Source organism: Homo sapiens, chromosome 9, assembly GCF_000001405.40.
Source record: "Homo sapiens chromosome 9, GRCh38.p14 Primary Assembly".
Taxonomy (NCBI): domain Eukaryota; kingdom Metazoa; phylum Chordata; class Mammalia; order Primates; family Hominidae; genus Homo; species Homo sapiens.
Window position 1 is genome coordinate 19,563,688 of NC_000009.12, and position 15,854 is coordinate 19,579,541.

Below are 15,854 nucleotides of genomic sequence, written 5' to 3' on the forward strand. Positions count from 1 at the left end.
CCCTCCCTCCCTTACTTCCTTTTCCAACAATCTGTAACAAAACTGTTGGTTTTTATAATGACCCTTCCTTCCTTTCATCTGTAACAAAACTGTTGGTTTTTATAATGACCCTTCCTTCCTTCCTTCCTTCCTTCCTTCCTCCCTCCCTCCCTCCCTCCCTCCCTCCCTCCCTCCCTCCTTTCCTTTCGATGGGGTCTCCTTTGTAGCCTAGGCTGGAGTGCACTAGGGTGATCATGGCTCATTGCAGCCTCTGCCTCCTGGGCTCAAGTGATCCTCCCACCTCAGACTCCAAAGTAGCTAGAACCACAGGTGCACACCACCATGCCCTGCTAATTTTTTGTATTTTTGGTAGAGAGAGTGTTTTTGTGATGTTGCCCAGGCTAGTCTCAAACTCCTGAGCTCAAGTGATCCACCTGCCTCGGCCTCCCAAAACTGGGATTGATTACAGGTGTGAGCCACCATGCCTGGCCATGACATGTTTTTTAAAATCAACCTCAGAGAACTAAATTTAATAGTAGGAAGATATTTTTGAGCATTTCTCTTTTTAAAAAGAGAAATTAAAAAACCACACTCACTTCCATCATGTTTCCCCTACTCATTCTTCACTTAGTGACATAAAACTCAAACATTTTTATCAGCACCATGAGGCTTTATAAAAGCAGATCTTAAAAACTCCACTGAGTTTAGGTAAAGATAACAGTATGGAGAAATAAGTCAGAGCTGAATTCCTAAGAAGAGAAAGAGCTTAATATGGCAAGGTAATATTTGAATTGTAAAGTAAGAATAAAATCACTTGCATATTACACATTCTCTGTCTTCAGTCATCTGTTATCTACCTACCTATCTCTCTCTGTATCTATCTGTCTATCAATCAATCACATTCCTAGGAATGTCATTTTCTTATATAAATCTGTTTGCCCACAGGTGCATTTGGGAAGCTCTTAGCCAAAGCAGGGACAATTCTGATTTCCCTAAGGACAGAAGGAAATCTTAGAAGTGAAATGAAATAAAAACTGCAACACATAAAAAGCCGTCTCATGCTACATGAAAATGTAGGACACAGTTTTTAAAAGTTGAATTTTTAGATTTTCGAATCTAAGGAATTTGCAAGTCTCTCCCCCTTCTACCCTCATTGTGAGCGTATTTAAATGGTTTTGATGTGTCACAGCAGCAGGGATTATGATGCAGCAGGCAGGCAGTTTTGCAGTGTATGTGGGCCAAGTGCAAATCACCCATCTAGATTGGCAAAATTGAAATGTAAGAAAATGCTGGGTTCTGGGTGGGAGAGCATATTGCCTTGAATTGTCTTTCAAACCTGGCTAAATTCTCAACATCACTGGAAGCATTCCCTTTGAAAACTGGCACAAGACAGGGATGTCTTCTCTCACCACTCCTATTCAACACAGTGTTGGAAGTTCTGGCCAGGGCAATCACGCAGGAGAAAGAAATAAAGGTATTCAATTAGGAAAAGAGGAAGTCAAATTGTCCCTGTTTGCAGATGACATGATGATTGTATATTTAGAAAACCCCATTGTCTCAGCCCAAAATCTCCTTAAGCTGATAAGCAACTTCAGCAAAGTCTCAGGATACAAAATCAATGTGCAAAAATCACAAGCATTCTTATACACCAACAACAGACAAACAGAGAGCCAAATCATGAGTGAACTCCCATTCACAATTGCTTCAAAGAGAATAAAATACCTAGGAATCCAACTTACAAGGGATGTGAAGGACCTCTGCAAGGAGAACTACAAACCACTGCTCAATGAAATAAAAGAGGATACAAACAAATGGAAGAACATTCCATGCTCATGGGTAGGAAGAATCAATATTGTGAAAATGGCCACACTGCCCAAGGTAATTTATAGATTCAATGCCATCCCCATCAAGCTACCAATGAATAACTTTTTTCACAGAATTGGAAAAAACTAAAGTTCATATGGAACCAAAAAAGAGCCCAGATTGCCAAGATAATCCTAAGCCAAAAGAACAAAGCTGGAGGCATCAGGCTACCTGACTTCAAACTATACTACAAGGCTACAGTAACCAAAACAGCATGGTACTGGTACCAAAACAGAAATATAGACCAATGGAACAGAACAGAGCCCCCACTAATAATACCACACATCTATAACCATCTGATCTTTGACAAACATGACAAAAACAAGAAATGGGGAAAGGATTCTCTATTTAATAAATGGTACTGGGAAAACTGGCTCGCTATATATAGAAAGCTGAAACTGGATCCCTTCCTTACACCTTATACAAAAATTAATTCAAGATGGATTAAAGACTTAAATGTTAGACCTAAAACCATAAAAACCCTGGAAGAAAACCTAGGCAATACCATTCAGGACATAGGCATGGGCAAGGACTTCATGTCTAAAACACCAAAAGCAATGGCAACAGAAGTCAAAATTGACAAATGGAATCGAATTAAACTAAGGAGCTTCTGCACAGCAAAAGAAACTACCATCAGAGTGAACAGGCAACCTACAGAATGGGAGAAAATTTTTGCAATCTACTCATCTGACAAAGGGCTAATATCCAGAATCTACAATGAACTCAAACAAATTTACAAGAAAAAAACAACCCCATCAAAAAGTGGGTGAAGGATATGAACAGACACTTCTCAAAAGAAGACATTTATGCAGCCAAAAGACACATGAAAAAATGCTCATCATCACTGGCCATCAGAGAAATGCAAATCAAAACCACAGTGAGATACCATCTCACACCAGTTAGAATGGCAATCATTAAAAAGTCAGGAAACAACAGGTGCTGGAGAGGATGTGGAGAAATAGGAACACTTTTACACTGTTGGTGGGACTGTAAACTAGTTCAACCATTGTGGAAGACAGTGTGGCGATTCCTCAAGGATCTAGAACTAGAAATACCATTTGACCCAGCCATCCCATTACTGGATATATGCCCAAAGGATTATAAATCATGCTGCTATAAAGGCACATGCACGTATGTTTATTGTGGCACTATTCACAATAGCAAAGACTTGAAACCAACCCAAATGTCCACCAACAATAGACTGGATTAAGAAAATGTGGCACATATACACCATGGAATACTATGCAGCCATAAAAAAGGATGAGTTCATGTCCTTTGTAGGGACACGGATGAAGCTGGAAACAATCATTCTCAGCAAACTATCGCAAGAACAAAAAACCAAACACAGCATGTTCTCACTCATAGGTGGAAATTGAACAATGAGAACACTTGGACACAGGACGGGGAACATCACACACCGGGGCCTGTTGTGGGGTGGGGGAGGGGGGATGGAAAGCATTAGGAGATATATCTAATGTAAATGGCGAGTTAATGGCTGCGGCACACCAACATGGCACATGTATACATATGTAATAAACCTGCACGTTGTGCACATGTACCCTAGAACTTAAAGTATAATAAAAAAAATATATATATAAAAGAACTTAAAGTATAATAAAAAAAATAAACCTAGAAAAGAATCTGGAAAAAAAAAAAAGAAAATCTGCTTTTTGGAAACAAAAACCAAACACTTTGCCATCATACTAAAAAACGAGAAGTAAAAGTAAGGAATATGGGCCGGGCACGGTGGCTCACACCTGTAATCCCAGCACTTTGGGAGGCCGAGGTGGGTGGATCACCAGGTCAGGAGATCAAGACCTTCCTGGCTAACACAATGAAACCCTGTCTCTACTAAAAATACAAAAAATTAGCCGGGTGTGGTGGCGGGCGCCTGTAGTCCCAGCTACTTGGGAGGCTGAGGCAGGAGAATGGCGTGAACCCGGGAGGCGGAGCTTGCAGTGAGCCGAGATAGTGCCACTGCACTCCAGCCTGGGGACAGAGCAAGACTCCATCTCAAAAAAAAAAAAAAAAAAAAGGTAAGGAATATGTTCTTATAATTTTATCTTTCCTTTTTAACACAGCAACTACAAACGTCATAATGTGATTAATTTATATACCATAAACCATACTAAGTAAATGCTAGTAAATTTTTAAAATAACCAAAAAAAAAAAAAAAATTTGAGAAGGTTGATAAATTCTCAGTGGCATCCCAGATCAGATTTCTCAGTGTTGGAATCAACAACAATGGATCAGCAGTTATTGGGAAAAGCTAGTGATCGCTCAGCCATTTAAAAAGTCATATTATTTCTTGGTTCCACAGAATATACAAATGAAGCAAAAACTTCATTCCTCTGTGAGAGTATTTTAAAAATGCTCTCTATTGCCACGGTAAAGACTGTATGGCAGAAACCTCTCGGAGATGAGGTGACAATGTGAAATTAGTTCACTTGTAAATAGGGTTTTTAAAACAGCAGGTTAATTACACAAGGCAGGCTAAAGTCTCAGGAGAATAACAGTGTGGTGTATGGGGCTCATAATTTCCGCTAATAAAGTCAGGATGCGCACCTCACTCTTAACGGAACTTGCTAAAAATACAACTCAAAAGGAAATAAAACTAACAAAATGAAAAGCCATTGAATCATGTCCATGAAACTGTGCTTCAGGTGGCCTGATCATCCCGCGTTCACATTTTCCTACTGACTCTGGAGGCCCAGCCCTAATTCACCCCATCACCCAGACTTTCCAGCCTGGAAACCTCAGCATCATCTGCAGCTTCCTTTTCTTGTTCACTTTCTATGACCAAGTCAATACCAAATCTTCCCAATTCTGGCTCAGAAAGGACTCTCAAATCCAGCCTTGCCGTTCATACTGCAGCTCATACATGGTCTACCAATAGACGCCTTGCCATCTGGGCTATTCAATAGCCATTAAAAATGTTACTCAGTACTGCTAATAATAGCATACACCTAAGCAGTGCTTATAATGTGCCAAGAATGGTTCTAAGAGCATTTATCCTCACAACAGTGCTATGAGATAGAAACCATTATTATCCCTGTTTCACAAAGAGGGAAAATGGATAACAGGTTAAGTCACTTTTCCAGGGTCACACAGCTGGTAAGCAGCAGAGCTAGGATTTGAATTCAGGTGGTCCATCCTCAGAGTCTGTGTGATAGTGACCAAAGCACATTGCTCCTGTATTCATTTAACCCATTATTATTTTTAGTGTTGCTGCATTTTTTTTGGAAAAGGTAATGCAATTGCCTGGTTCAACATTGAAAAGTTATAGAAGGGTGCATATTAAAAAGCTTCCTTTCCATCCCAGTTTCCTACCGCCCCAGCCCCTGTTCTGGAAGTAAGTAACATGACTAGTTATTTGACAGCATTCCAAGCAAATGTTTATATGCTATTTCCCTTCTCCCCCTTTCTTTCCGTGTACAAATATACTGGATACAATTTGGCATGTTGCTTTTTTCACTAAACAACATGTATTGGAGGTCATTCCATAGCAGTACATGAAGAGCTTCTCATTCCTTTTCTTTTCCTTTCTTTCTGTTTTTTAAGACAGATGGTTGAAACTAAGGATGGGCAAACGTTTTCTGTAAAGGGCCAGATAGTAAATATTTTAGGCTTTGAGGTCCATATGGTCTCTGTCACATATGCTGCTATTGCTTCCTGTTTAAAAAAAGCTTTAGAAATGTAAAAACCCATTCTTGTCTCATGGGTCGTACAGAAACAGGCTGCAGGCCAGATTTGGCCTGTGGACCACAGTGTGCCAATCCTGGAACCACAGGTTCTTACCTCACCTCCCTTTGTCTAGTAATTTTCTATTCTGATCCCTCTTGACCATTCTAAGAGAATTGTCTTTCTATAAAACAAATCTGACACTGCCACTGCTCCCTCTAAATCTTCTGCAGCTTCCCACTCCCAAGAGGAGGGTGAAGTCCAGACTGGTTGGCAGTGCGCACAATGTCCTTCATGATCCACATACTTCTCCTCCCCTCCACGTCTATCACACCAGTACGTGTCATCATCAGCTCTTTCCCTCAAGGCCTGCAACAACCTCTTTGCCCCACTATTGCCATAAACCCTCCTTCCCTCAAATGCAACCTCTAAGACACCGTGGCGCCAGGGATCTTTTACAAGTGCAAATCACATCTGCTGACTTCCAATGGCTTCTTGCTGCCCCAGACAGAAGTCAGCTACCCTATCATGATCTACAAGACCTACCAGCTCTGCTTGGCCCTCCTCTCTGACTTCATTGCTACCATGCTTCCTCCTTCCACTCCTCTCTCTCCAGCCATACTGATTTTTCTGTTTCTGAAACAAGCTGAGTTTATTTCTGCCTTTGTGGGTGCTGTTCCTTTGGCTGGCTCCTTCTTGAACTTCAGTCTCAGTTCAAATGCCATTTCCTTGGAGGCCTTCCCTCATCTCCCAACTCACAGGAGCCTCTCCATTTTCCTTCCATCCTATCACACTGCTTTGTTTTGTTCATGGCCTTTGGGGCCATGTATAATCATGTTGGGTTGTGTTTACATTCTCTGCTTTGCTAGAACACATGGGCATCTCCAGTGCCCAGTACATTGTCTGACACATATTAGGTAAACAATCAAAATTTTCTGATTAGATAAACAATGGAAGAAATTTGAGCCAACTTACCTTTTCTAGTGGATATCTCCTTACTCCTCACCTTGTATTTTAGGCTCCAGTTCTATCCTCTTTCTCTCCAATCACTAAACATGACTTTCCCTTTTAAGGTTTTACACCTTTGCACATGTTGTCATTTTGGTTATTTCTTCATTCTTTGAGGGACAAACTCCGACTCACCCATCAACACCCAGCTTGAATGTTGCCTCTTCTATGGAGTTTTTACATCTCCTCTATTTAGGACCAACTTCTTCCTTTGGCAGGCTCTCAGAGCACTTTGTATAGAACTCTAAGATCATACCAGGTCATAATTATTTACCTAACACAAACGTTCACTCATTATTTATACCCTGAATACTCCCCAAATATTATATACATAAAACCATTTCACTTTACATACAATGAGCTCTTTCAAGGAAAGGACACCTCGAATGGTGTTTTAATGATAAATATGAATACATAATATCAATATTTAGCATCTAACTCTGTAATAAGGGCTTTATGTACATTATTTCATTTAACCCTTATGATAGCTGCAATGAAGCAAGTACTGTTGCTATCTGCACTTCACAGATGAGGCAACTAAATTAAAGCTCAGGGAAGCTAGGTAACTTGACCCTGGTGGATCTAGAATTCACTACCAGGCTGTCCTACAGTGGGCCATGGTGACCTGCAGGCCCAGGTCACCTGATTGCTCTTGAGGTCCAGGTCATCTGATTGTAAGTGAAGACCTGATTGCTCTTGAACTCTGAGCCTAGCAGGGTGGTGCACAAATCTGTCCTGTTCCCCTTTGTGGAGACCTAGGGCCACAGCTCTGCTCAGAGAGGGGTCATCTGGGACTCTTTTGCTCCCCTGCAGCAAGGTCCTCCCTTGCAGGGGCACAGATGTCCCTCTGTCAGCCAGATGGAGAGGCATGGGGATGAGGCTGCCCTCTGCACACCTATGACTGTGCCATCCCCAAGGGCAGCCAGATGTCCTTGGGGCCTGCCTCCTGCTGCCACACGCTGCTTATCCATGTGGACATAAGCTGCTCTGCCAGCTCACTCTTGAGCTAATGCAAAGGGACCACAGGGCTCTGGGCAGGAAGGTAAGGAGCATAGAAGGCAGAGGAGACAAGGGCAGAAGGAGTGGCAGGCTCCTTATTCTTTCTGTTAAATGAAGAAACTTTCCTTAGGAAAGAAATACGTAATTTCTATCAGAGAATAAGGGTAACAGGCAACAATTAGCATTTTTTTTTTCTTAAGAAGTGGCTGCTAGGTTATATTGACTGTAGTCTGGTTTCTATTTGCAGGCACTGTATCACTTTTCAGCTCATTGGGGGAAGTTCTGTCTAGAGAGTGCTTTCAAACTTTAGGGTAGTGCTACTCCAAGTATGGTCCTTGGACCAACAGCATCAGCATCACTGGGGAGCTCATTAGAACTGCAGACTCTAGGCCTCATGGCAGACCTGACAAATTCAGAATGTGAATTTTAAGATGACCTCCCCAGAGAATTTGTAAGTACATTAAAGTTTGAGAAACACTGAGCTAGGTAAAATGCAAGTTTTAAAATGCCTAATTAACATGCAAGTTTGGGGCTCCAGGTCTTAGAAATTCTGATTCGCCTGATCAGGATGAGATCCAGAAATCTAACAAGCACCAAAGGTGGTTCTGCCTACATTTTGAGCAACTGTGTTCTAGAGAGAGTGGTGGAAATTGTACAGTTGGACGGTCCTGAGATGAAATCTCAGCTCTACCATCTACAAACTAGGTAACCCCAATTAACTACTTCATCTCACTGAGCTTCAGTTTCCTCAACTATAAAATGGAGCTACTATCCGGGCGCAGTGGCTCACGCCTATAATCCCAGCACTTTGGGAGGCCAAGGCGAGTGGATCACCTGAGGTCAGAAGTTCGAGACCAGCCTGATCAACTGAAACCCCATCTCTACTAAAAATGCAAAAAAAAAAAATTAGCCGGGTGTGGTGGTGCGAGCTACTCAGGAGGCTGAGGCAGGAGAATTGCTTGAACCCAGGAGGTGGAGGTTGCAGTGAGCTGAGATTGAGTCACTGCACTCCAGGCTGGGTGACAGAGTGAGAGTCCGTCTCAAAAAAAAAAAAAAAAAAAAAAATGGAGCTACTAATGCCTACACCTTCAGCTGTGAGGTTAAAGGTGATAACATATGTTGATATGGTTTGGCTCTGTGTCCCCACCCAAATCTCATCTCAAATTGTAATCCCCATATGTTGCGGGGAGGAGCCTGGTGGGAGGTGATTGAATCTGGGGGGCAGATTTCCCCTTTGCTATTCTCGTGATACTGAGTGGGTTCTCATGAGATCTGGCTGCTTGAAAGTGTATGGCACATCTCCATTCCCTCTTTTTCTTTCCTGCTCTGCCATGGTAAGACATGCTTGCTTCCCCTTCACCTTCTGCCATGATTATAAGTTTCCTGAGGCCTCTCAGTCATGCTTCCTGTTGAGCCTGTGGAACTATAAGTCAATTAAACCTCTTTTCTTCATAAGTTCTCTATAGCAGTGTGAAAATGGACTAATACCTATGTAAAATGCCTAGTACCGAAGCTGTGGCAAATAGTAGGTGTTTGATAAATGTTAGGTTTTACAACTACTAGACTGAAAAGTTCAAGTGGTTGTGCCATTGAATAATGGGTTGGGCCAGAGAGTGTTAATTTCAACCACAGGGACAGAGAAAGCCAAAGGGGGCTCACTGAGTCTGATGGCTGTGGTTTCTCTATTACTTAACACAGACCTTAAAGACACAGAGAAAGGATTAAACTGCAGCAGGTATCAAGCTTTATCATACATTAAAAATCACCTTGGATGCTAATTAAAAATGCTAATTCCGACGTGCTGCTTCCCAGTGATCCTGTTTCACCACACCTGGTATATGGCCCAGGGATCTACATTTTCATCCCCAGGAGATACTGATGCATGAGTCCTTCAACCTCACCTGGAGAAACAGTGGCTTAGAGAATATTCATATTCATTCAATAAATGTAGAGGCTGCTGCATGTGGGACCCTGGGGTGGCACTGGGAAATACACACAAGGATGTATAAGGCCCTACCTGATTCCTGCCCAGCTGAGAGCTGGGGCTTCCAAGGAGAATATAGGGTCTGTGCTGCCACGCTAGGATATCAGTTAAGAACAACAGCCCAGAAGAGCAATGGAGAAAAGCCATACCTGGGCTTCTGCACCTTCAATGTTGTGGGAGAGATTTCCATTTTGTACAGGTTCTGAAGCATCACTGGATGGTGTCATTTCAACATCTGTGCTGGTGCTGTTTGGAAGCTCAATTTTTTCTGTGATATAATTTAAACACACACACACACACACACACACACACACACACACACACACACAGAGAGAGAGAGAGAGAGAGAGAGAAAGCAAATGGAATCAATGGGGGTAAAGAGCAATATTGAAAAGAGTTTCCTAAAATGTTGGGCTAAAGCAGAGGATAGTGGTGTCCCAGGGGCGATAAGGCCCAGGGCTGATATTGAGCCAAGCGGGAAAGGATTTTTACCGTTCTTCCCCATGTCTTTCAGTATACGGCCTGCCCCCTTAATAGCGCCCTGGCTTCCTGCTCTGGCATGACACTTTACCTTGGGTGCCCTATCAGCTCCCATGATATGCCTTTCTTGAGCCTAGGCAAATTTACCAACTAGCTACTCAGGAAACATGAACATAGACATTTTAAAACCAAAACCACACGCAATCTACATACTATTGTTTACACCCTGGACTGTACCCTTCAGATATTTTCTTACAGTAATATCGTTTCTTTGATACTGTACTCTGGAAAGGATATTAGCTAGGGCTTCAGGGTCCTAGACTTTACCCTGCTTTGATCGGGTTGCTATCTTAGGCTAGTTCCCTTCTTCCTCTGGGACTTGGGAATCTTATCTGTGAAATAAGAGGGTTCGACAGGTTGACCTCCAAGGGACATTATGTTCAGCTGTAATTCAGACTCTGTGAGTGGAAACTCTTCCAGTGCCTAGGTGGCCATGGGCAGGGCAGCCTGGTGAATACAACTTAGCACACTCCACACCTGAGCATCCTACTGCAGGCAAGGCAAGGGGGAGCTCGACAAGTAATAGAGGCCAAAGGCTGTGTCATTCCTGAATCAGAACATTTAGCTAGAGTAAAGCCAGAGGGTCAGCAAGTGCAGATTTGACACTTGAGAAGTGACTCTAGGGTAATGGTTAAGCACTGGGAGTCTGTAACACTGGGAATCAGACAGGCCTGGCTTCATATTCTGGATCTACAACTTGTGCTGTTTCACCCTTTGCAAGTGACTCAACCTCTCTGAAATTCAGCTTCTTCATCTGTAAAACTGGGGTGATGGTAACAATACTACTACTACTATTACTGTTGCTACTACTACCACTAACAACAACAATATGATCAAAGAGTATTTCTGTAAAGATTAAATAAGAAAATGCATATAAAACACTGTAGCATAGTGCCTTGTACAGAGCAACCAAGAAGCATAAACTATTTGGATCTTTATTATAGTGCCTGCCTTTCACTAGAATAATTTTTTTTTTGTCATGACAAAGAGGAGTACCATCAGGTGATCAATGTTCCAGCACCACTGAGGTCTGCTGAACTTCATCGCGAGGGAAATTAAAAGGTTCCTATTGAAAGCACACACTCTGGCTGTTTTGGGTCAAATCATGGATTTTGGGATGGAATGAGGCTGTAGTATGCTGTCAGGGTTTCTGGGGGTATCAGAATGCTCATCATTGTCAGATCCGAGCAGTATCAGCTGCTCATCAAACATAAGAATGTGCTTTTTTTTTCCTAGCAACTTCAGAGGGACTAGACATTTCCATCACTGGTGCTTAAGAAAATAATTTGAGAGTTACATAAAAATTGTGGAGTTTGAAGCAGCCAAATTTTGGAAATCATAGGGAAATATTTATGTTTATTTATGTATTTAGTTGTGGAATATAGACACATGAATAGATTTAAATACGGAAAACCATAGAAACTCAAATTTACTTTATCTTTCCAAGTTTTTAGTAGTGACAGCGATACGTATGTGATGTGCTGCATGTGGCTATGCCAGTTTATCTTAGTATGCTTGATTCAGTTATTTAAATAAAAAATCATGAAGAACCTTGGGTGAATAAAACTCTGTTTGGAGAATTCTATTGGCTGATGTGATAAAACCTTAGGATTAGCCTGCAATGGTCAAATTGACCCTAGCAACACAAAATACTGGGTAAAAGGGGAGTTAACATGTCCAAGAACAGAGATGAACAGATGAGCAGAGACTGCCTGCCAGGCATAATATCTAACCTGTGTGTGCACATCTTAGCTTATAAAGTGCTTTTACACAGCAGGCTGAAGGTTCATAATAAAAGAAAATATGAAAATAAATCTTGGACTTACTTTGAAAAGCATTAGCTAGTTACAAAGTCATTCAGAGACCCAATAACATTTTCTAGTTCAAAGTCATTGAGAGCCCCAATAACATTAGAAGAATCCTTGGCATTAAGTGTCCTACCTCCTTAAAAAAGATTAAATCCAAGTCTAAGGTTGGCCAGTCATTAGGAGGAGGAGGACTGCGACTGAGCCCAGGAATCTAATTCTTTTACTCCAAGCTACCTCATTCTATAAAAGACAAGTCAACATGTGAAGCAGAAAAAATAGCTTGTGTAGTTGAATCTAAACATCACAAACAAAACTCAACCTATGCGGTAGACTTTCATGGTGTGGCTTTACATTTTTATAGTACAAAACCAAAATATGCTTATTCTGAAAAACTTTATAGAAGCATAAAGAAGCAGAAAAATATATATATAACTCATAATCCCAGCTTTAGGAAGTAACTATTGTTAACATTTTAGCTGACTTCTTTCCAGTTTTTCTTTTCGTATCTAATTGCATCTTAACTGTTTCTCAGCCAAAAATTTTCCCTGAGGTAGAAGTTGGGATAACAGGAAAGGCAGAAACTCTTCTACGGAGTGTCAGTATTTTGAGAGCAATGCTGTTGAATTTTGTCTGCAGATAATTTTAGTTACTTGGGTAATAGCTTCGTTTATAGCATAGATCCAGATCAGGTTAAATTTAGTTTGAATTTAGAATAAGAGAGCTATATTATAGTTACAGACAGGAGAGAAGGAACATCATGTTCCATTTTAAAATAAGATGCCTGAATGTCACAATCTTGTCATACAGGAGCTCTGCAAAAGTCAGTGGAAAGAGACCTGGGGGCTGTTACTGCTGAATTCTTAAAAACGAGAGGCAGCATCATCTCAAAAGGACTCTGTCACTCAGTTCAGGAGTGACCAAGTGTGTGCCATAAGCAATATCACAGGTATAAAAATCTGGTTACCAGTCAAGACTTACAGAAAGGGGACTCTCACCTTTGATTAAACATTAAATGACACTGTGTACGTGTGCGTGTATGCGTGTGCATGTATCCTGTTTATGTGGAATCCCTGAAATACAGTGATTTTCTATTCTTGAATGGAGATGACTAGTTAAGAGATGGTTTTACTTCAGGTTCCTCAGAGAATAAATTTACTCTTCTTGGACTTCTAGAGTTACTGGTGACATACTGTGTCCATGCATACCCTGTACACACTAGGGCAAGAGGGACTCATTTCCTGTTGCACAGGGAAGGGCTGTGCTGCAGCGGTGTGTGTGTCTGCACTGAGTCAGGGGTGCCCACACTGGTCCTGACTCTCTGCTCCCCTCGCTTCCCCCAGGAAAGGTATGGGGTGGATGTTTCCCTGCACTCACCCACGTGGTTGGCAGCCCCATTCTGCCTCTCGTTCTCATCCACATGACATTTCTTCTTGGCGATCTTGTGGAGAATTGAAGCCTTTTCTCTGAACCTCCCTGAAGCAAAAGAAAGTGGCAGGAAGGAGACACAATGAGAAAGAAGAGAGTCTCAGGGCCAAGCAGGTATGTGGCCTCCTCAGTCACGCTGCACTAATAGCGTGACCACTCCATTCTGTCCAACCCCAATGCACCAGGACCTTCCTGAAGGGTACTTTCTTGCCTTTGTAGATTTTTCAGCCCAATTCTCTATTTGAGAATCTCTTCCCTCCCTTCCCAGTTGCTCACAAAATTAACAAAAGCACCAAGCAACACTAAAGCTTCCCTACTGCTGAGATCCAAAACAGGTCTAGAGAAACAGAGCTGCTCTGGAGGCATGGCCATTTCTCTGAAATTAAATGCTCATTCCAGACCAGATTTTGACAATGGGCTGGGAAGGAAAGCCAAGCCCAGGGGTCCTCTGATTTGACTTCAGTTTTCAAACATTTACACTTTGAGTATCCCTAACTGAAAAAACCAAAATCTGAAATCTGAAACACTTCTGGTCCCAAGCGTTTCAGATAGGGGATACTCAACCTGTCTTATAATTAACATTGCTGTTTCTAAACGAGTAAGGAACATGCATCACAGCTTTCCAAATTAGCTGAGTCAGCTGCAATTAAGGCATTAAGAAGGCAACTGATTCCATTTGTGGATTTAGGGCAAGGAAGGATCAACTGAGTGCAGCAAGTAATGTTGGTGATGAGATGCTTTGGGAATGGTGCTGGACATGCATATTTATAGCAGCACAATTCACAGTTGCAAAGTGGTGGAACTAACCCAAATGGCCATCAATCAACGAGTGGATAAAGAAACTGTTATATATATATTATATATAGTTATATATATAAAATATATATATAAAAATATTCCAACATATATATATGATGGAATACTATGCAGCCATAAAAAGGAATGAATTAACAGCATTTGCAGTGATCTGAATGAGATTGGAGACTCTTATTCTAAGTGATGTAACTCAGGAATGGAAAATCAAACATCGTGTGTTCTCACTGATACATGGGAGCTAAGCTATGAGGATGCAAAGGCATAAGAATAATACAATAGACTTTGGGGACTTGGGGGGAAGAGTGGGAGGGGGACGAGGGATAAAGGACTACAAATATGGTGCAGTGTACATATGGTTGATGGGTACACCAAAATCTCACAAATCACCACTAAAGAAATTACTCATGTAACCAAATACCACCTGTACCCCAATAACTTATGGAAACATAAAAAAAGTTACTAGAAAATTGCCATTCTCAAAGTAATCATTTTAAACAGCTGTAACACAAGTGCGATGTTTCATTTCTTCTTTATTATTGACATAATAAGTAAATGCATGCAATAAGCCAAAAAAAAAAAAAAAAAAGCAAGCAAAAGTGCAGAGATTAGGGAAACAGCACATTCCTCTTCTTTTTATCCTTTATTTTCTTCCTTGGGAACATTCAAGGTATAAAAAAATTCTCATTTTAAACTGATTATTGCCTAGATTCAGATATAATGAGTATCTCAAAACACCACAACCCCTACAGTTTTCCCACGATGTATTTTTTTTTTTTCCGGCTTGTGTTCTCTAGCAGCATATTAACAGGGGATCTCATTCTACTTTTTTATTTAGAACCAAACCAAACAAATATGTTTCTCCTGGAGAGCTTCTTTTCCTAGGATAAAGCATGGCAGATTGGCACCCACTGCCCACCTCCATGGTTTGGAATCATGGCGTGTGGTCATGGTGATGACTTGTGTGACTGGCTGGGAGTGACAGCACCTGTAAACTAGAGTCAGACCAATGGACTCCAATGGTGAAAATGACACGAGCTGTGACCCTTTCTGCTCACGGCTCCATTAGTCACAAGCCTGGTCTCTTTGCCACAACAAAGGCAAAGGCAATCTCTAGGCCATAAGTACCTTAGTCTAGGCAATGAATGTGCACCACTGAGTACACTCTCAAAAGAAGTAGGAAAGGAAATATTTCATGGAGAAAAGGAGGTTGGTGTGTGGCTTGGGCTTCCTAAGGAGTGAGAAAGAAGGATGAGGTGATAGGCACGACTCCATCCATGAGGAATGTTGAAGGTCAGCATTAGATTCACCACCCTGGAAGGTAGCTTGAATTTGGTTGTTTCTATTTAATTTCCAAGGGAAACTCTGGGAAGAAAAAGGGAAAAGAAATCCTGGAGACTAGGAAAAGGAGGTGGTAAAGAAGAACAAGAACAGAAAGGAAAAATAGAGAAAAAGAAATGCAAGGATGGAGGAGGCAGGCAGGGTCTATGATTGCCTGAAGGTTTTCCAGGCTGTGTGGATGCAAGATACTTTCCTGGCTGCCAAACCTAGTCTTATTTGAGGACTAGATAAACAGATAATAAGAGTGAGCTTGAGTACTCTGCAGTCCTCAGCCTAAAGAGGAGTTACTTTTTGCAGAAGGCAATTCCAAAAAGTCCCAAATCATCTGGTTTTCCACCCAGAAGAGGAAAAAAGGAGGTTCTGAAACTTTATTGGAGATGATGCTTCTTCTAATAAAATCATCCCATCATGGT

General features: G+C 41.5%; 1 protein-coding gene across 5 annotated transcripts in view; it reads right to left on the reverse strand.

Annotated features, from left to right (window-relative positions):
- SLC24A2 (solute carrier family 24 member 2) overlaps window positions 1-15,854 on the reverse strand; it is an 800,438-nt gene that overhangs the window by 56,233 nt on the left and 728,351 nt on the right. For all 5 annotated transcript variants that reach the window (XM_017014592.2, NM_001193288.3, NM_020344.4 and 2 more), the window contains 2 exons: window positions 13,237-13,335; window positions 9,664-9,782 (listed from right to left, as the gene is read on the reverse strand). In XM_017014592.2, coding sequence (XP_016870081.1) covers window positions 9,664-9,782; window positions 13,237-13,335 — 218 coding nt within the window. The remainder of the gene's footprint in view (window positions 1-9,663; window positions 9,783-13,236; window positions 13,336-15,854) is intronic.